The following is a 19,940-nucleotide window of genomic DNA, read 5'->3' as shown; positions in this document are numbered from 1 at the left end:
TTGGAGAGGGGGTGGTGGCCCGTCACTCCTCAGGCCCCAGGCGCACGGCTCGGGATCGCAGCTGCTGCCTTCCCTGCCGGGCTCTCTCCTGACAGCTCCAACCCTCGAGGGAAGCACCGGGAGGGAGGCGGTGGTGGCCTCTGGGAGCTTCCTGCGGCCCTGGGGCGTCCCCAGCCACATGGCCCTGCGAGCTTCCCCAGGCCCTCCAGAGCTCACTGGGCAGCTTCGCTTCTCTTGGAGCCCAGTGCTTGTCTGCTGTGACCACCTGAGAGTGGTGCCTGTGATGCCTCCTTGGTGCCAGGCACAACTCATCTGGCAGGAGAAGTCAGCATCCATCTTGGGGGGCACAAGCCCCCGATGGCTTTTCACTCTCTGGAGACCAGCAGAACATCTGCCCCGCCACAGGCAGGTGACAGAGCCTCACCTGGGAGGAAGGACCTCCTGCCATACTGTCCTTACCCGACACGGTCACCTACGGATTCAAGACACAACTCACCCGCACACCATGGAAGATGAGAGGGAAGCCTTTCTTAGGCAACTTCTCCCAGCCCAGCAAGGAGGTCACCACTGTGGGGTCCGCACAGACCTCGAGTTCCCTGTGGTAGAACAGCCGTGAGGGCAGCATCAGCAGGGCCTCGTGGGACCGGTAGTTCTTCACCAGCTTTGTGACCTGCGAGGAGATGGTGATGGGTCACAAGGGGAAGGTGGTACCCGGCACAGTTTCTGTCGAACGAAAAGCGGCTCTGCACAGCAAACGTGAGGCCTGCCTGACTTCCAAGCCTGACTCTGCTCCTGCGCCCCTGTGTGTCGCCTGCCCCCAGACCAAGCCCTTGGATGATGGTCAAGCCAAGGGTCCATCTGAATAGAAAATGGAAACATCAGGAAGAAAAGGGTGTGACGGCTGCCCTCTGTTCCTCTCCTGGGTCTGGGTGCCGCTGAGGGGCCTCTTAAAGGGCTCCTGCCACCTGGAACCCAGCAGCCGGGTGGAGGGCAGGTGGATGCCTCCCTCGTGTGCTGAGAGCTTCACCCTGGAAACAGCATCTTGTTGGCCCACACAGCCCTGCCTCCGCTTGGCCACAGGGAAGGAAGAGCTCCTGGGCCCCTGGGCCAGGAGAGCATAGACACTGTGACTCTGGGGGCCTGGCCAGCCCTGGGCGGGCCTGGCTGTGACTTCACTGATGCGGCTGAGGGTGACTGTGATATCACCAGTACATGGGACACCTTTACTGTCTGCCTCCAACTTGCTCGGGAAGCTCACTCAGGGCAGGTGCTCTTCCCCTGGTGCTGGTGTAAGCAGCCAGAGAGGGTCTCCAGCGACTACAGGAGTTCAACCAGTCAGAGCAATGCTCAGTCTTGACCCTGCTCATCACGTGACCCATGTATTGGCATGAGGACTCGCTGCGTCTGTGCCGCGGGGAGCCGTCCTCTCTATGCAATGCTGCACCCTCTGCCCTCCTGTCACTGACTGTCCCTCGGGGAGACACTGCTGGGGAGAACAAGCCTAGGGCTCTCCCTCCTTGGGATGAGTTAACAAAGCCCCTGTTGGTGAAAACCTGTGTTCCTGCAGTGCTGTCTGTTACTCGCCAGATGACACTGGCACGAGAACGCCATGATTGGCCCCGTGAGTCCTCCCGACTCTGTCAAGCCTAAATAGAATGTGTCCAGCCTCCAACGTGCTACTCCAAACTCCAAATGTGATCTAGAGTCACGGCACCTCTGCCTTAGCTGGACATGGGCAGCTGCTGGGGAAGAGAAAGGAAGCATGCAGCCTCCTGGGGTCACTGTGGCAGCCGCTCTGGTTGGAGGGTGCAGGACACTGCCCAGGCCCCACACAGGACAAGGCCTTCACCTCCCGTGCGGCAGGGTCTTTCTGTACCTGTGGCCCTGTGCTGTATGCACCTGCCCTGAAGGCTGTGTGGTGGGGACGGCAGCGTGCTGGTCTCTCCTGCTGCGGCCACGTCACCTGCACCCACACCTCCAGCAAAGCAGCTAGCGGGTACAGGCGCACAGCGGCACTGGAGGATGAGGCGAACCTCCGGGGGACAGCAGAGCTCTCAGGCGCCCTCTGGGCCCAGCAGCTGCTCACGGCCGGCCATCTTCCTGGGGGCAGTTTCATGGCCTCCTGGCACAGCCGGTCCTGTCTTGCGGGTAGTCCCTCATGAGGCCTTCCTTGGCCTGAAGACCCCCACCTGCTCCCTACCCTTGACAACCAAGAATGGGGTCCAGTCCTTTTCCCTGAAAGTCTGCCCATGGTAACTGCCCCTCATTTTCTATTGATGTTAATACTGGCAATGGGAATCAGATGGAGACTGTTTTTCTGTGGGCTACAGGGGCTTACAAACTGAGGCTACTTGGTTCACTGTTGAATGATGGGCCCTGGAGGCCCAAGCTCAGTGTGCTGGGGGCTCCAAAGATGCAAATCCCAAAGCCCATCCCTCAGAATTTGGTGCAAGGTTGGCTGAGAGCCCAGACCTGCACTTCAGTGGGACCTTGGGGTCAGAGACCACTGAGGAGACACTGCCTGCAGTCACTCTAGGGCAGGCTTTTTAAGTCACAAAAATTATTTCTTGCTTTTCTTAACGTTAACAGAGTAACACAGATTTTAACTTATTTTACTGAATCTGACCCCAGAGTCTCAGCCATCAGCACCAGGCTGCAGTTTCTGCTGACGGGGGAGGTGCTATGGTGGGTGCTCCCCTGCACTCTGCCCACGGATGGAGATGACTCAGGTGGACAGAAGAGTGAGCTGCTCGACTGCCCTGGAGCCTGTGTCTGCTTAGCTGGGGACCTGAACGCGCTGGAGTCTGTGACTCACCAACAGGGGATTATGTGCGCCACAAGCACCGAAAGCATTTTCGTCCCTCTGGTACGCGGGTCGAGACATCAGCCGTTCCAAAAAGGACACGTTCAGCCCATAGGCCATGGCGAGTCTGGACTTAATGACTGGGCCGAGCTGCATGGGGTCTCCTGCCAGCACGATCTGCACACAGAGGGCCCGTCTCAGCTCATGCAGGGAGGGTGCCGCTGCCACTCCTACGGGCTCAGGTGGGAATGGGGCTGTGCGCAGGATGGCCCCATGCTCACTCTTGCTGCAGGGGACGACGGGAGGGACTGGGAGACCAGGGAATGCCGACAGGGCTTGGAGCCGTCTCTCCCCGCTTCCCCCTGAAGTCCTGCCATCTGCCTCCCCGAAGTCCTGCCATCTGCCCGGCTTCTGCAGCCTGGTTTTCTCTCCTGCGAATCTCTCAAAGTGGTAAGAGCCCCAAGGATGCCGTCTATCTTCTGGAAGCTTCTGCATGGCTGGCCCTGGCCGCCATCCCACCTGCCCCTTGCCTCTTGCCCATGGTTGCCTTGACCTGGTCAGGCCGCCCTATGCCGCTGCTCTGCCTGGACCAGTCCCTGCTCCCTCCCTAGGCGTCACCTTCATGCTCCGCCCCACAGTGCCTGGTGACTGGGACAGACATCTAGGATGGGTGCCAAGGAGGACCCTGAAATGTCCAGTGCTGGACACTGGATGAGCTCGCCTGGATGAGCCACAGTGAGAGAACCAGGGAAGTTCAAGGTGATGCCCACGCCACCATCAGAAGCACTCGGGGAGGAAGCAGGTGGGAGCAGAGAACAGAGGATGCACAGAGCTGGAGGCCAGGGCAGCCTGAGGGGCAAGTGGGTCAGATGCAGGAGCACTGGCCCTGTCCGCCCCTCCAGGCACTGAACGGCCGGCTCACCCAGAGCAGGGACCACATTCCTGACTTTACCGCTGTATCCCCAACACCTAGAATGGCTCTTACCTCCGTTTTACAAGTAAATGAGTCAAGACATTCACTTCTAGTCCAAAAGGAATAAAGTACAATAGAGACCCATGGCCCCCAACACCTCGGGGTCCTTGGCACTTCCACCTGACCCCTGTACAGCTGTGACTGTTCCCGGCAGGATCGCAGCCTGCATCCCCTCAGGAGAACGGGGTGAGGAGGAAGCAGCACACACAGTAGTCGGGACTTACCTGGCCACTGATGTCCGACATCAGCCCCAGAGGAATGAGGCATTCCGGCTCACTTGCCTGCCCAGCCTCGTCCACAAACACGTGAGTGAAGTGCCCAACTCTAGAGCAAAGATGTTCTAAATGGTAATTTCTGCCGAATTGTTTTAGCAATTGATGCCTCTGACACACTGGCAAAGCCACGCTCAGCACCCCGGGGGCACAGCAGGGTTGCCCAGGGGTGTGCAGGAGCTGGGGGTCTGGGTGTCACCCGGCTGGAGGGAGGACAGGCCACAGGTGTCAGGAGATGCTAAGCCACATCAGCACCCAGTGCTTTGCACGCAGCGTCTGTATTTCTAGAGATGTGGAGGGAAGAAGGGGTGGGAGCGATGGGCAACACACGAGCGCCTCCTGGGGGCAGCTCACAGGAGAAGCGCCGCAGGCTCCTGGCCTGCTCTCCACCTGCGTCTCACTCCTGTCATTATCAAAATGCCCAGGCTCTAGTCCTGACTTCCCCTCTCTGAGCCTCCACCTCCCACGTGTCTCTCGGGAGGTGGCTGAGGTGAGAGCAGCTGAACTGGCCGCTGTAAAGCGCTGAGAACAGGCCTGGCCATGCAGGCGGCCACAGATGGCAGCCTCTCCTGCCATCCGCTCATTTCCTCCTGACTCATCCTTGTGAGCCACTCTCAGCTGGGCACTGCCTGGCCTGCATGCCAATAGGCTGAGGCCCTGGGAGCCACTTCCCAATCTGCGGCACCATTAAGAAAATGGGGTTGGTCGGGCGCAGTGGCTCACGCCTGTAATGCCAGCACTTTGGGAGGCCGAGATGGGTGGATCACGAGGTCAGGAGATCAAGACCATCCTGGCTAACACGGTGAAACCCCGTCTCTACTCAAAATACAAAAAAATTAGCCGGGTGTGGTGGCGGGCGCCTGTAGTCCCAGCTACTCGGGAAGCTGAGGCAGGAGAATGGCGTGAACCTGGGAGGCGGAGCTTGCAGTGAGCTGAGATCGCGCCACTGCACTCCAGCTTGGGTGACAGAGCAAGACTCCATCTCATAAAAAAAAAAAAAAAAGAAAAAAAGAAAATGCGGTCTCTAGAATGGCTCCCCACAATTCTGGCCCCTGCTGCAAACTCAGTGAGGTTCCCAGCTACAGAGCAGCCCTCCTGGCGGGTACCTGTCCGGCTCTTCCTTCTCCGTGTGACAAGGGAGGTAAGGGAGGTGCAGGAGCAGAGAGTCCACAGCGTTGCTGATGGACGGGGTGGGGATTTTGCGGGAAGGAGTCGTCAGGAGAAGCTGCGGAACTCTTGCATGGGAAGGCTGTGGGACTGAGCGGAGAGCAGGAGCTCGCTCGGCACATGATCTGTTTCTAGAGTGCAGAGGGGCCACCCCACCTGGGGCCATGAGCTGAGGAACAGGTGCCCCGGCTTCCCTGGCTCGCCCACCCCAGCAGCTTCTGCTCTGTGGTCAGGAGGCCTCAGTGGGGAAATGCTCTTGGGGCAGAAACATGTCCTGATGCCTGAGGAAGCAGGTATGGGGCAGAGAGAGTGTCCGGAGCCACGCCAACACTCAACAGGACGCACCTTGGGCCCGCACCGTCCTCACTGCCGAGCCCACGTTTACCCTTCTCACTGCTGATTCCAGGATCTCCCCTCTCCAACCCTAGATGCTGGGCAAATCCATCACCTCTGAGCCTCAGGTGTCCCACTGTGGGGTGAGACCCTGTGGTCAGACCTGTGCGGGGGCGGGCTCCTGCTTACAGCAGTGCTGGGCCCAACATGTCCTGCATCCACTCACGGTCAGCTGACACCTTTCACTTCAGGTATCAATGTGTAACTCTCAAGACACGGATTTCACAAGTGACACCGTGAACCCCTCCCAGTGAAAGATGTGGAAATCAGCAAACTGCCATTTCCCCATCTCATGTCCCTATTTCTGTTGAAAAAAATTAACATTATGTATCTTTCCTAGAATGTAAGTATTTAGGTTTCAATTCTGTATTAATTGCAGTTATTTAATGTCACTTTTGCCAGATGACATTGCTACTTCTTTGCCCTTTGAAGTGCCCCTCCCCACTCCAGCCGCCCCCAGTGGCCAACTAACGCTGTGGGGCCTCTGCAGCTGGGCTGCAGCACCCTCCCTGCTTCTGCACAGAGCGCCTCTGAGAGAGCGGCCTGCAGCACCCTCCCTGCTTCTGCACAGAGCGCCTCTGAGAGAGCGGCCTGCAGCACCCTCCCTGCTTCTGCACAGAGCGCCTCTGAGAGAGCGGCCTGCAGCACCCTCCCTGCTTCTGCACAGAGCGCCTCTGAGAGAGCGGCCTGCAGCACCCTCCCTGCTTCTGCACAGAGCGCCTCTGAGAGAGCGGCCTGCAGCACCCTCCCTGCTTCTGCACAGAGCGCCTCTGAGAGAGCGGCCTGCAGCACCCTCCCTGCTTCTGCACAGAGCGCCTCTGAGAGAGCGGCCTGCAGCACCCTCCCTGCTTCTGCACAGAGCGCCTCTGAGAGAGCGGCCTGCAGCACCCTCCCTGCTTCTGCACAGAGTGCCTCTGAGAGAGCGGCCTGCCCTGGCCGGCCACCTCCTCCCACTACCTGAACATCAGCTCCAGGGTGCAGGGTCCATGCAGTGCCCGCTCTGCCCCCAAAGAGCCCTCTGCACCCCAGTGAGGACTGGCTCTTCGGCTCTTGACCTTTGACTCATCAACACACATTAACAAAAAAAATCCCTGTCTTGTTCAGATCCGTGCTGTCCAATCCGGTAGCCACACACGGCTCTCGGGCACCGCACAGTGGCTAGTCTGAAACCTGACATGCTCTAAGTGTAAAATACATGGTGGATTTTGAAGACTTGAACCAAAAAAAATGTAAAGTGTCTCATCAATCACGTTCTACTAATCTCATGATGAAAGGACATCATGTATGTGAGAGAGTTAAACGCGCCGATGAAACCATCCGTGACACGCTGTGATAGGCGTGGCTGGCTGTGCCTTTGCTCCATGTGGAGCTGACGGACCACCTCCTGTGGTCACCCTCACGACCACCGTGACGCTGGACACTGTCCAGGGTGACCTGTCTCCAGGCTGTCAGGGAGGGTCACGACCACTGTGACGCTGGACACTGTTCAGAGCGACCTGTCTCCAGGCCGTCAGGGAGGGTGGGGCTTCCCTCAGAGGCCCTGGCTTCTCCCTCTCTCACCCTCAGCCTGTGCCCCCGACACTGTCTGGCTCTATGCACTGAGAGGGAGCTGCCTGCTGCCTCCCCGACCCCACCCCCCTGCACTGGGGTCTGAGAGTGCCTTGGTCCTCACTCAGCCTCCCTGGGCTCGAAGCTCTTCCTCCCAGCCCCCAGGGGAGGTCCTCCTATGACAGCCGGCACCCCACAATCCATCTCCTCCGCCTGTCTCCCCTGAAGAGCCCCCAGCGCCAGGGACACAAATGGCCCCCAGGGTCTGACCTTACAGAGCCCAGCCGTTTCCTAGGCAGCCTGCCTCCCCACGCCCACTCCAAGAGACTCACTCTCCTGCTCAGAAGCCCTTCACTGGCTTCCCGGCTCACCAGAGGTCGTCCAAAGGCCCCTCCACAGCCCGCCAGGCCTCCCCCTCACCACCCCTTTCAGGCCGTTCCTGCTCACGAGGCTCTGGCTCTACAGTCTCCTTTGGGGAGACCTCAGTGCTCCCCCACCGCGGGGCCTCTGCATGGGCCAGTCCATCTGCCTGCCCATCCCACTGCTGGCTCCTTCGAGTCCTTGGGGTCTCGGCTTCCCCAGCTCCATTCAGGCACGGCCCTCCCCAACCAGCCTTTCTCGCCCACAGCCCTGCCTCCCTCCCTGAGCACTGAGTCTCTGGGTCATCCGCCCCTCAGACAGAAGCTAGGAGAGGACTCCGACCTCTGCCCTGGGAGGCCCCATGCCGCGCTCCATGCCCGGGGCTCACCTCACTCCTATTTGGTAAAACAGCCCTGAGCTGCTGCATGTGGTGATGATTATCCGGAAGCGTGAGGCTTTCCAGATGTCTTCTCCGTCTCTGCAATACGGTTTGACGGCGTCAATAACTATCTGGGGGCAAGGAGGCGTAGAGTTAGTTTACTCCTCCAATTATTAAGCAGAATTCCAAAAGGGAACCTTGCCCTGGTACCACTTCTTAGTTACGTCTAAGTCATGATTTAAGGTTTTTTTCTCAAAATATCTCATACTTCCTTATCAATTCAGTCCATGTTTTATCAACTCTAGAGCCACAAATATAACACATAATCCTGCAGACCCTTCCCCAAAACAACTTTGTACATTTTCTATTCAGTTTGTTTGTTTGTTTATTTAGAGAGGGAGTCTTGCTCTTGCTCTGTCGCCCAGGCTGGAGTGCAATGGTGCAATCTCGGCTCACTGCAACCTCTGCCTCCCAGGTTCAAGTGATTCTCCTGCTTCGGCCTCCGGAGTAGCTGGGATTACAGGCGCATGCCACCACGCCCAGCTATTTTCAATGTCTTTTTTAAACGCAATATTTCAGGCTGGGCACAGTGGCTAAAGCCTGTAATCTCAACACTTTGGGAGGCAGAGGCGGGTGGATCACTTGAGATCAGGAGTTCGTGACCAGCCTGACCAACATGGTGAAACCCTGTCTCTACTAAAAATACAAAATTAGCTGGATGTGGTGGCACACACCTGTAATCCTAGGTACTTAGGAGGCTGAGGCAGGAGAATTGCTTGAACCCGGGAGGCGGAGGTTGCAGTTAGCCAAGATCACACCACTGCACTCCAGCCTGGGCAACAAGAGCAAAAACTCTGTCTCAAACAAACAAAAAAATAAAAGCAATACTTCGCTCTATAACCAAACCAGCAACTTAAAGGAATACTTAAAACCAAACCAGGCCGGGCACGGTGGCTCACGCCTGTAATCCCAGCACTTTGGGAGGCCGAGGCGGGCAGATCATGAGGTCAGGAGATCGAGACCATCCTGGCTAACACGGTGAAACTCCGTCTCTACTAAAAATACAAAAAATTAGCCGGGCGCAGTGGCGGGTGCCTGTAGTCCCAGCTACTTGGGAGGCTGAGGCCAGAGAATGGTGTGAACCTGGGAGGCGGAGCTTGCAGTGAGCCGAGATCATGCCACTGCACTTCAGCCTGGGCGACACAGCGAGACTCCGTCTCAAAAAAAAAAAACAAAACAAAACAAAAAACACCAAACCAACAAAACAAAACTACTTAAAAAGTAACAAGACGTTTGGGGATTAAATAAAAGAGGAATGTGATAATTTTACAATGCTACGAATGCCCACAATAGGTGTGATAACTCACACAGAGTGAGAATGTGATGAAATAGTCAGCAATCAAGCTCCACCATTTAGCGGTGAGGGAGGGCCCATGGCAGAGCCATTTCTCAAACACAGCTTTCTGTGGCGCCTCTGTGCCCACCCTCCTACCCCTGCCCTCCCCTGTCCACTTGGCATTTCCTATGTTCCAGGGAGGGGTTCTGGTGCCCCCCACTGCTTGCACCAAGGGCTCACCTCCTCGAACCTGCAGGTGGCGTTCACCCGGACCATGGTGGCCGGCTGTAGCACCTTGCTCTCGTGCAGCCGCAGACACACGAGGTCAGCAGCACTGTTGGAGGGCGCACAGACTAAAATCCGACTGTCCGGCAAGGCAAAGTGTACCTTCATCAAAGACACACAAGAGACCAAGGCTCAACATCCACACCGCAAGGTGGAAACCAGGAGTCTAACCTCAACACACACATTCGGGTGCAGGGACTCAGCTGCATGGGCTCAGATGCCAGCCCCCAACACACTGAGACCTGGGCCACGACTCTGCCTCATCACACTGCTGCCAAAGCATGGGTTAGGTGGGAAGGTTCTCCGCACTCTCTAAGATTCTAAACCACCTTTCAGGGCAGAAACAGAGTCAGATTCATCTGCACACATCTGGCGTGTGGTACAATTGTGCGCTCAATACCTGTTTGCTAATTTGAATCCTGAATGACGCTAAATGTAGATGGTCTTCGGCTTATGATGGTTTGACTTAACGCTTTTTTGACTTTATGATGGTGTGAAGACCATCCCCAGTCAGTCTGCTCCTCACCTGACAAGGGATCATGCCTTGATGAACCTGAAACAGGCTTCCCAAATCCCATTACGATGGGTTATTGGGTTGTAACCCCATCAAAAGTTAAGAAGCATCTGTAGACAATAGTTTCATAAACTTAACTTCAATTACAAATGAAGATATCTAAAACTTCTGTGGAATGGTGGCTGTAGCTACTATAAGAGTAACTTCTTTTCTGCAGCAAAATGTCATGATTCAGATAAAATAGTTTACCAGGCTAAAAATGAGTTTCCTTCTAAACCTATGAAATAAGCTTTTAAATCCCTACATATCCACAAAAACAGACTTAACATTATGAAATAACTGGTATTTCTCAAGCTCTTTCCAACTGTCTGATTCTACAATCTAAACTCACACTTCCTGAAGACACAGACGACACATGAACAGCAGCACAGAGCCACAGCACCCGCGGCGCCGCTGTCCTTACCTGTAAAACAGCCTCTATTATTGTCACTGTCTTTCCAGTACCAGGAGGTCCAAAGAGAATATACGGGAGGGGACGGCAGTCACCACTCAGAATCCTTTTAACTGCTAACTTCTGATTTTCATTTAGCACTGGGTTGAAAAACTCCATCTTTCTTGCTTTAGGGGTCTGAATTTCATCTACTGTATTCAAAGTGAAGAAAGTTTCAGTTAGATGCAAACAGCTCTCAACAGCTGTGGACACGTCCTCACCTAGGTCAGGCGTCAGCACGTCTGTGCAAAGGCTAAATCAGAGTCACAGACAGGGAGTAGCTCTTCAGTGTGACCAGGGGTAAGATGCGCACAGGGCATTCCTCTTAATAATCTGTTTGCATTTTTTTTTTCTTTTTTGAGACAGGGTCTCGCTCTGTCACCCAGCTTGGAGTACAGTGGCACAATCTCAGCTCACTGTAACCTCCATCTCCTGAGCTCAAGCGATCCTCCCACGTCAGCCTCCCGGGTAGCTGGGACCACAGGCGCCCACCACCACACCTGGCTAATTTTTGTATTTTTTTTTTTTTATAGAGACAAGGTTTCGCCATGTTGTCCAGGTTGGTCTCGAACTCCTGAGCTCATATGATCTGCCCACCTTAGCTTCCCAAAAGTGTTAGGATGACAGGTGTGAGCCCTGCACTCAACCTGTCTGTGCTTTGTTAAAGAGGGTCAGGAGAACGAATGCAGCTGCTGAGAGGAAAATGACAGGCTGTCAACCGATTCTGCGGCTTTAGAGATCACACTCAAATATTAGAGACTGGATTAAAAAATGTCCACATCTGCAGAGTACCTGGAAAAAAACAACCCAGAATCTAAAAGTCTTCTTAAAGTATCTAAGCTAAAACACCAAGTCTCCAGTCAGGGTGGAGACGGCAGCCGCCTGTCACAGGCCACACGCCCCCTACTGTTCTTCCTTCTGCATGAGAGCCCACTCCTCAAAGTCCCCGTTTTCCAGGCGACAGTCTCAGAGTTGCTCTTCTCCTTGCCCCTCATGAGCACATACCCCAATCGCTCATCTCTGCAGTAAAGGGTGCCAGCACCGGCAGGTCCTTGTCACCAACACGCCTCTCCTCTGTTCCATGCTCAGCTTGGTCCGTCATTGTTTTCCTATTCTAGAAATTATCAGGCAGAAAAATGTTTTAAAAAAACAGCTGTGTTTACACTGGCTTGGTTGAAAGAGCAAACGTAAACATCTAGTGTTCTACTTAGTATATTTATTTAACAGCTCTTTGGATGGATCACAGGTCAGACCCTTTGAAAAATAAAGAAAAAACAAACGATCAGATAAAAAACTGCTAAAAAAGTTTGTGCTTTTTTCTTTAAACTTGCTTTTAGAAATAAACTAAAATTTGTGATGAAACCAAAGCACAGGACTAAATTTTATTTTATTAATATCATCTTCCCTTGGTACATCCTACCTGCTTTCCAGGCTGGACAGTGGGGGAACCTGCAGGGGACAGTCAAGGGTACAGCCCAGGGCTCTGGGTCTCACGGGCCTGGAGAGTGTGCAAAGTGCCAGTGCTGCCTGTTGACGTCAGGCAAGATCCTGCACCAGGCCGGGCACGGGGCTCACGCTTATCATCCCACCACTGTGGGAGGCCAAGACAGGTGGATCACTTGAGCCCAGGAGTTTAAGACTAGCCTGGGCAACATGGTGAAACCCTGTTTCTAGCAAAAATACAAAAAAAAAAAAAAAATTAGCCGGGCATGGTGGTGCTCACCTGTGGTCCCAGCTACTTGGCAGGCTGAGGTGGGAGGATCACTTGAGCCCAGGAGGCGGGGCTGCAGTGAGTGGAGATTGGGCGACCAACTCCAACCTGGGTGACAGAGACCCCCCAAACTCATAAAAAAAAAAAAGGCTGCACGCAGTGGCTCACGCCTATAATCCCAGCACTTTGGGAGGCTGAGGCGGGCAGATCACAAGGTCAAGAGATCGAGACCATCCTGGCCAACATGGTGAAACCCTGTCTTTACTAAAAATACAAAAATTAGCTGGCCGTGGTGCCACCAGCTACTCGGGAGGCTGAGGCAGGAGAATAGCTTGAACCCGGGAGGTGGAGGCTGCAGTGAGCCAAGATCGTGCCACTGCACTCCAGCCTGGCGACAGAGCGAGACTCTGTCTCAAAACAAAAAAAAAAAAGGATCCTACACAAGAATTGGTTTTCTGTGTGTTCCAATGTAAGTAGTATTTGTCCTGAACCAGTGGGATTTTCAATTTTTTTCATTATGATCTGTAATTCTTTGTTAAATAACTTCATTATTTTCATAGGATAGATTCTGGAATCTATAAAATCAAAAGTTCTGGGGCCAGGGGTAGTGGTTCACACCTATAATCTGAGCACTTCAGGAGGCTGAGGTGGAAGGACTGCTAGAGTCCAGGAGGTCAAGGTTGCAGTGAGCCATGATTGCGACACTACACTGCAGTTAGGAGGACAGAGGAAGACTCTGTCTCAAAAAAAAAAAGTTTCACGTTAAAAAATTTACACACATTGCTAAGTTTTAGTCTAAAACAGGCTTGTCCAACCAGCGGCCCATGGACTATATACAGCCTAGGATGGCTCTGAATGCAACCCAACACAAACTCGTAAACTTTTTAAAACACTATAAGATTTTTTTGTGATACATATTTTTTTCAGCTCATCAGCTATCATTAGTGTTAGTGAATTTTATGTGTGGCCCAAGACAATTCTTCTTGCAACGTGGCCTAGGGAAGCCAAAAGATTGGACACCCATGGTCTAGAAGGTTATGCCTATAACCTCCTCCCACAACCATTGTGTTTTGCAGAGTGTGACTGACATACAATAAGGTGCACATATTTAAAGTGTGTGACTTGACAAGTCTGACGTGCACATACCCATAAAACCATCAGCACAATCAAGATGACAAATAGACCTGTCAGTCCCCAGAGCCGCCTTGTGCCGCAGCCCCTCCAGTGGCACTGGCTGGCTCACATGCTCTCGAACTTCATACTTCATATAAATGCACACAGTGTGATTCATTGGAGAGCCACCTGTGTTGTTGCATGTCAACAGTTTGCTCCTTGTATTGCTGAGTCATGTTCCATTGTACGAACACAATGCAACTTGCTTATCCATTCACCTGCTCACGGACACTGGGTTGTTTCGTTTTTGGTGATTAAAAACCCAGCTGCTGTGAACTTTGTGTATGGGTCCTCACGTGGCCTTATGTCTTCATCTCTCTAGAGAGAAATGGCTGGGTTGTATGGCAGGTGCGCGTCCAGCTTCTTAAAAACACCTTTTGCACAGTGGTGTGCCACTCCCCATTCCCACAGCAGGGTACGTGCCAGCGGCCCCACGGGCTCACCAACGCGCAGATGGCCCAACTCAATTTCTGGCCATTCTAGCAGGTGTTCAGTGGTACCTCATTGTGGTTTAACTTGTGTTTCCCTAACAACTAATGATGTTGAACATCTTTCATGTGTTTATTACCATCTGTATGTATTCTCTGGTAAAGTGTTCAAGTGTTTGATCCATTATAAAAAATTGAGTTCTTAGGCAGTTTGTAGAGTACTTTCATATGTTTTCCGAATACAAGTTCTTGATCAGATGTGATTTGCAAATATTTTCTCTAGTCTGTCACTTTTCATTGTCTTACCAGTGTCTTTTTTTTTTCTTTGTTTTTTTTTGAGACAGAGTTTTTCTATGTTGCCCAGGCTAGCCTGGAACTCCTGGGCTCAAGAGATCCTCCAGCCTCAGTCTCCTGGGTCACTGGGACTAAAAGTGTATGCCATTGTACCTTACTGTCTAACAATGTCTTTTCAGCAGCAAAATATTTAATTTCACTGAAGTCCAATTTATCCATTTCTCTGTAAGTCATGCTCTTAGTGTCACATAAAAAAAAATCCTTGCCCAAACAGAGGACGTGCAGATGTTCTTCTATGCTGTTTCCTAGATGCATAGTTTTAGGCTTGACATTGCGGCTATAAACCGCAGAGTAAGTTAGTTTTTGTCTGCGCTGTGAGCTATGGACCCAGGTCCATGTTTTGCGCGTGCCCTGCATTTACAGACCACGTGAGGTAAAACAGGTAACTTGATAATATGGAATCTTCCGGCCCAAGAGATACTAATATCTCCCTCCATTGATTTACGTCTTTTGTTGCCCATCTTTTGTCAGATGTATCCCTAATGTTTAAAACATTTAGGTGCTACTTAAAAAAAAAAAAAAATTCAGGCCTGGCATGGTGGCTCACGCCTGTAATCCCAGCACTATGGGAGGCTGAGGTGGGCGGATCATGAGGTCAGGAGTTTGAGACCAGCCTGATCAACATGGTGAAACCTTGTCTCTACTAAAAATACAAAAATTAGCAGGGTGTGGTGGCACGCACCTATAATCCCAGCTACTCAGGAGGCCGAGGCAGGAGAACTGCTTGAATCTGGGAGGCGGAGGTTGCAGTGAGCCGAGATCCGCCACTGCACCTCGGCCTGGGCAACAGAGCGAGACTGTCTCAAAACAAACAAACAAAACACCAAAAAACAATTTCTGAGTGTTTACTGGAAATATATATACAACTTATTTTTCTACACTGATCTTGTATCTTGCAAAATCACTTATTAGTTCTAACAGCTTCATTTTAGATTCCATCAGATTTTTTTTCTTTTCTATTTTTTTTTTTTGAGACAGGGTTTCACTTCATCACTCAGGCTGGAGTGTAGTGGTACAATCACAGCTCACTGCAGCCTCAACCTCCCAGGCTCAAGGGATCCTCTTGCCTCAGCCTCCTGAGTAGCTGGGACTACAGGTGTGTGCCACCATGCCCAGCTAATTTTTAAACTTTTTAAAAATAGAGACAGGGTCTTGCATGTTGCCCAGGCTGTTCTCAGTGATTTTCCCATCTCAGCCTCCCAAAGTGCTGGAATTACCGGCACGAGTCACCACACCCGGCCTCCATCAGACTTTCTACAGGATGCGGATGCCTGTTCTTTCTGCTTCATTGCCTGTCTACAATGCACAATGCTGGGCAGAAATGCTGAGGAAACATGCCCTGATCCTGATCTTACAAGCAAAGAACATTCAGTTATCACTAAGTAGGTTTTTGTAGGTAAAAGAAATTTCCTTTTATTTCTAGTTTGCTGAATTTTGATCAGGAATGGATGCTGGATTTTGTCAGATGCTTTTTCCAAGTCTACTGCCATGATTATATGGTTTTTCCTTTTCAGTTTGTTAATATGGTATATTACACATTTATTTTTGGAATGTTAAGCCATTCCTGGGATGAACCCTCTTGGTCTCATATACATGTGTCATATACATAGATACATATATGTATACATATAAAAATATGTGTATATAAAATATGTGTGTATATATAAAAATATGTATATTTATATATGTATATATAAAATATGTATATTTATATATGTATATATATAAAATATGTATATTTATATATGTATATATATAAAATATGTATATTTATATATGTATATATATAAAATATATATATGTGTATATACATATGTATTTTTTGAGACAGAGTCTTGCTCTGTCGCCCAGGCTGGAGCGCAGTGGCATGATCTTGGCTCACTGCAATCTCCACCTCCTGGTTTCAAGCGATTCTCCTGCCTCAGCCTCCTGAGTAGCTAGGTCTACAGGCACATGCCACCACACCCAGCTAATTTTTTTTCTGGGATGGAGTCTTGCTGTATTCTATTGCCCACGCTGGAGTGCAGTGGCGCGATCTCGGCTCACTGCAGCCTCCGCCTCTGTTCCATGTTAGATAGTTTCTATTGCTCCGTCTTCAAGTTCACTAATTTTTCCTTCTGCATTGTCTAGTCTGCTGATAATTCTGTCCAATATATTTTTCATTCTAGGCATTGAATTTTTCATTCCTAGAAGATAAAATTGTCTTTTATATATCTTTCGTGTCTCCACTTAACCTGCTCATGTCTTCTACTTTCTTGAACACATGGAACATATTTATAACTGTTTTAATGTCCTTGTCTGCTAATTCCACCATGTTATTTCGGGGGGGTTGGTTCCAATTGACTAAATTTTCTCCTTTTGGGTTACGTTTTTCACTTTTTCATTTTGTAACCAGATGTCAGTGTCCATTTTATACCTTGCTGGGTGCTGGATAATTTTATATTCCTATAAATATTCTTAAACTTTGTTCTGGGATGTAATCCAATTATTTGGGAACAGCTTGCTTCTTTTGAGGCTATCATACTTTGTCAGTCTGGGCCGGAGCAGCCTTCAGTCAAAGGCTGGACTTTCTACGCTCCTGAGACAACACCCTCCCATGGATTCTACATGTGAATTACGAGGTTTTTCTTCTCTGGCTGTGGGCACAGCTATTTCTGGCACTGTGTCAACTTTTAAGGATTGTTCTTGCTCCTCCTTCCAGCTGGTTCTTTTCCAGGCCTGGGTATTTTACTCACATCATGCACTGATCAATGCTCAGCTGAAAACTCAAGAAGGAATCTCTGTAGGTGCCCAGCTGCTCTCTGTCCCCTGCCCTCTCCCCAGCACTCTACTCTGTCAGCTTTATCCCCCTTGTCCTCCCCACCCTTCCAAATGCTGTCTCTGTACTCAGGTCACTGCACTCCGCCTGGGCTCCCTCTTGGTGCTCTCTGGCCTAGACACTCTCGGAAGGCTGTGAGTTGGGAAAACCATGAGGTCACCTCATTTGTTTCCTCTCTCAGGAATCCCTGTCCTATGATAGCTGATGTTAATGTCTGAAATTGTTGTTCCATATAGTTTGTCTGATTTTTTATTGTTTCAGGAAGGAAGATAAATCTGGTCCCTGAAATTCTATCTTGGTTGACATATGAAATATTCTTGAGTTTATTTTCAATCTAGTTAATCCATAAGAAGATAAAGTTTCAGGTTTTAAAACCTACAGTCAATTAGGAATGTGCCCACCTAAATAGTAACACCTCCCTGATCTCACATGCCATCTGCACCACAGACTCTCCCCGAGAATCAGGCAGTAGAATGAACCAGTAATGAGGTGATGACGGAGAAGAAAAGCACTGTCCAAGGAAGACTCTTTTCTATTTGCAGAACAAAAAAGAGATCAACTATGAAATATGCCACAGATGACTTTCAAGGATAACCTCTTGCTGCTTCATTTGTCGTATTTTCCATGATTGTATAGGCATTCTAAACCTATCATTTTTGCATTTTGGGGGAGGAACTATAAAATGGTGAGCATTTTTGAGTATTAGATATAATTTAAAAATTCATGTTATACATTGAAAACATGCTCATAAAACCAAATTTGAATAGCACAAAATAAGTTGTAAGCTCCACCATGACACAGATGATTTTCTTGTTACTAGAAACATGAAGATAAATAAAACCACTTCTATTGTATTCACAAAAATATACTGAGAGCCCAGGACAATACCTGGCATGTAATAGGCACTATATTACTATTTATGGAGTGACTGGATTATAGAAGCTTTTTTTTTTTTTTTTTGAGATGGAGTCTCGCTCTATTGCCCAGGCTGGAGTGCAGTGGCGTGATCTCGGCTCACTGCAACCTCTGCCTCCTGGGTTCAAGTGATTCTCCTGCCTCAGCCTCCTGAGTAGCTGGGATTACAGGTGTACACCATCATGCCCGGCTAATTTTTGGATTTTTAGTAGAGATGGGGTTTCACCATCTTGGCCAGGCTGGTCTTGAACTCCTGATCTCATGATCTGCCCGCCTCGGCCTCCCAAAGTGCTGGGATTACAGGCGTGAGCCACTGCGACCGGCCTAGAAGTTTTTATAAAATATCTTTGCAACATTCACAAAGTTTGCAAATGTTAACAATTTGCGGGGTGTGTATCCTTCCAGACATTTTCCATGCATACACAATCACATAAATGTACCTAAGTGTACACATAAACCATATAATTTAAAAATAAAACTCTAAGGCCGGGTGTGGTGGCTCACGCCTGTAATTCCAGCACTTTGGGAGGCCGAGGAGGGTGGATCACAAGATCAGGAGATCGAGACCAGCCTGACCAATATGGTGAAACCCTGTTTCTACTAAAAATACAAAAATTAGCTGGGTGTGATGGCACATGCCTGTAGTCCTAGCTACTCTGGAGACTGAGACAGGAGAATCACTTGAATCTGGGAGGCAGAGGTTGCAGTGAGCCAAGATTGCACCACTGCACTCCAGCCTGGGTGACAGAGCGAGACTCTGTCTCAAAAAAAAAAGAAAGAAAAGAAAAAAGAAAAAGAAAAAACCCAACTCTAAGGTCATATAAACATCTGTACTTTGCTTCCCCTATTTAATATATTGTAGCCATCTTAGCCCTGCATCTTAGCCCTTGCATATAAACTTTACACTAAATCTATTTTTGAATATTTTAGTTCACTTTATTTTAACTGCAATTTTGAGTTATTTGTGAACCACACTGCTCTAATACTCCAGTCAACTAAGCGCTAATACTCCGAGAAGGAAACGCCCACCCCCTGTGTAGACAGTTACATCGCTGAGCCATCCCCTGTGTAGAGACAGTCACGCCGCTGAGCCACCCCCTATGTAAAGACAGCCACGTCGCTGAGCCATCCCCTGTGTAGAGAAAGCCACATTGCTGAGCACTACCTTTTTGCTGGTGGACTGTCCACTGCTTTTGGTGTCTTGTGCATGGTTCCAATTTCCCGTCACTTGTGGAGACTGTAAAATAATTTCTTCTGGAAACAACACTTTTAAAACAAAAAATGGTAAGAGCACGGGTATAACTAAAAAGCTAAAAAAATATTAATAGAGGTTGTTTATGGCTGACCCTAAAGCAATTAATATTCTATTCCCTTCCTTTCTTAACCTGCCTGTTATACTGTTTCTAAATTATAGCATTATTAGTACTGCATATTCTTCACAACAAAGCCCTTTATTTGCCCATCTGTAAAAATTCATAAATTACATTTATGAAGGGAAAAGCGAGCAAGATAAATTTATTTTCGGTTATTTAAGCATGCTATTATTAGTTATTCACTAAGTTGAAATAGTAAGAAAACACTAAAACTTGATAGAAAATTAAAAACATGAATATAACAAAAGTTTTACTTCTAATATTATGACTGAAGAGACTATTTTACACAAAATTTTACATGAAGCCTATAAAAATACTCTGTGAAGATGTAACACTATCATTCTATAAAAGTAATACCTTTTACACCTAAGTGGATGACGTGTTCAAGTGCAAAGTGACACCGTCTGCTTGTGGTCCTGCAGGAAAGAAAACCACATAAAATAACTAACCTTACATTCAGAAATATTAAGGCTGGCATAAGGTAATGAAAATTTTATGATACAATCTTTAAGTCAATATAAAAAAATCACAGCAACAATCCAACAATCAATGAAATAGAGAACAGAAAAACACTAGAGAGGACGGGCGCGGTGGCTCACGTGTGTAATCCCAGCACTTTGGGAGGCCGAGGTGGGTGGATCACCTGAG

General features: G+C 49.7%; 1 protein-coding gene across 19 annotated transcripts in view, besides 1 other annotated feature; it reads right to left on the bottom strand.

Moving 5' to 3' along the window:
• The window catches only part of MOV10L1 (Mov10 like RNA helicase 1), a 71,682-nt gene that overhangs the window by 7,973 nt on the left and 43,769 nt on the right, over positions 1 to 19,940 (bottom strand). For 15 of the 19 annotated variants that reach the window (XM_011530697.2, XM_005261923.5, NM_001164105.2 and 12 more), the window contains 9 exons: positions 19,650 to 19,708; positions 19,085 to 19,185; positions 11,526 to 11,634; positions 10,494 to 10,672; positions 9,472 to 9,618; positions 7,905 to 8,026; positions 4,001 to 4,100; positions 2,816 to 2,980; positions 497 to 670 (listed from right to left, as the gene is read on the bottom strand). In XM_011530697.2, coding sequence (XP_011528999.1) covers positions 497 to 670; positions 2,816 to 2,980; positions 4,001 to 4,100; positions 7,905 to 8,026; positions 9,472 to 9,618; positions 10,494 to 10,672; positions 11,526 to 11,634; positions 19,085 to 19,185; positions 19,650 to 19,708 — 1,156 coding nt within the window. Of the gene's footprint in view, positions 1 to 496; positions 671 to 2,815; positions 2,981 to 4,000; positions 4,101 to 6,565; positions 6,661 to 7,904; positions 8,027 to 9,471; positions 9,619 to 10,493; positions 10,673 to 11,525; positions 11,635 to 17,063; positions 17,537 to 19,084; positions 19,186 to 19,649; positions 19,709 to 19,940 lie in introns of those variants that run through there. The other 4 variants (XM_047441414.1, NM_001164106.1, XM_011530704.1 and 1 more) reach the window with 4 other exon arrangements.
• Positions 13,653 to 13,837: a silencer, noted in NCBI's record as "fragment chr22:50578307-50578491 (GRCh37/hg19 assembly coordinates)". NCBI's record gives its function as "represses an EF-1alpha promoter that drives an FKBP-Casp9 reporter gene in an ReSE screen in HepG2 liver carcinoma cells {active_cell/tissue: HepG2}" and the evidence as "EXISTENCE:reporter gene assay evidence [ECO:0000049][PMID:32094911]".

The sequence above is a fragment of the Homo sapiens genome, chromosome 22, assembly GCF_000001405.40.
Source record: "Homo sapiens chromosome 22, GRCh38.p14 Primary Assembly".
In the NCBI taxonomy this organism is placed as follows: Eukaryota; Metazoa; Chordata; class Mammalia; order Primates; family Hominidae; genus Homo; species Homo sapiens.
This window is presented reverse-complemented; position numbering and strand designations above follow the sequence as displayed.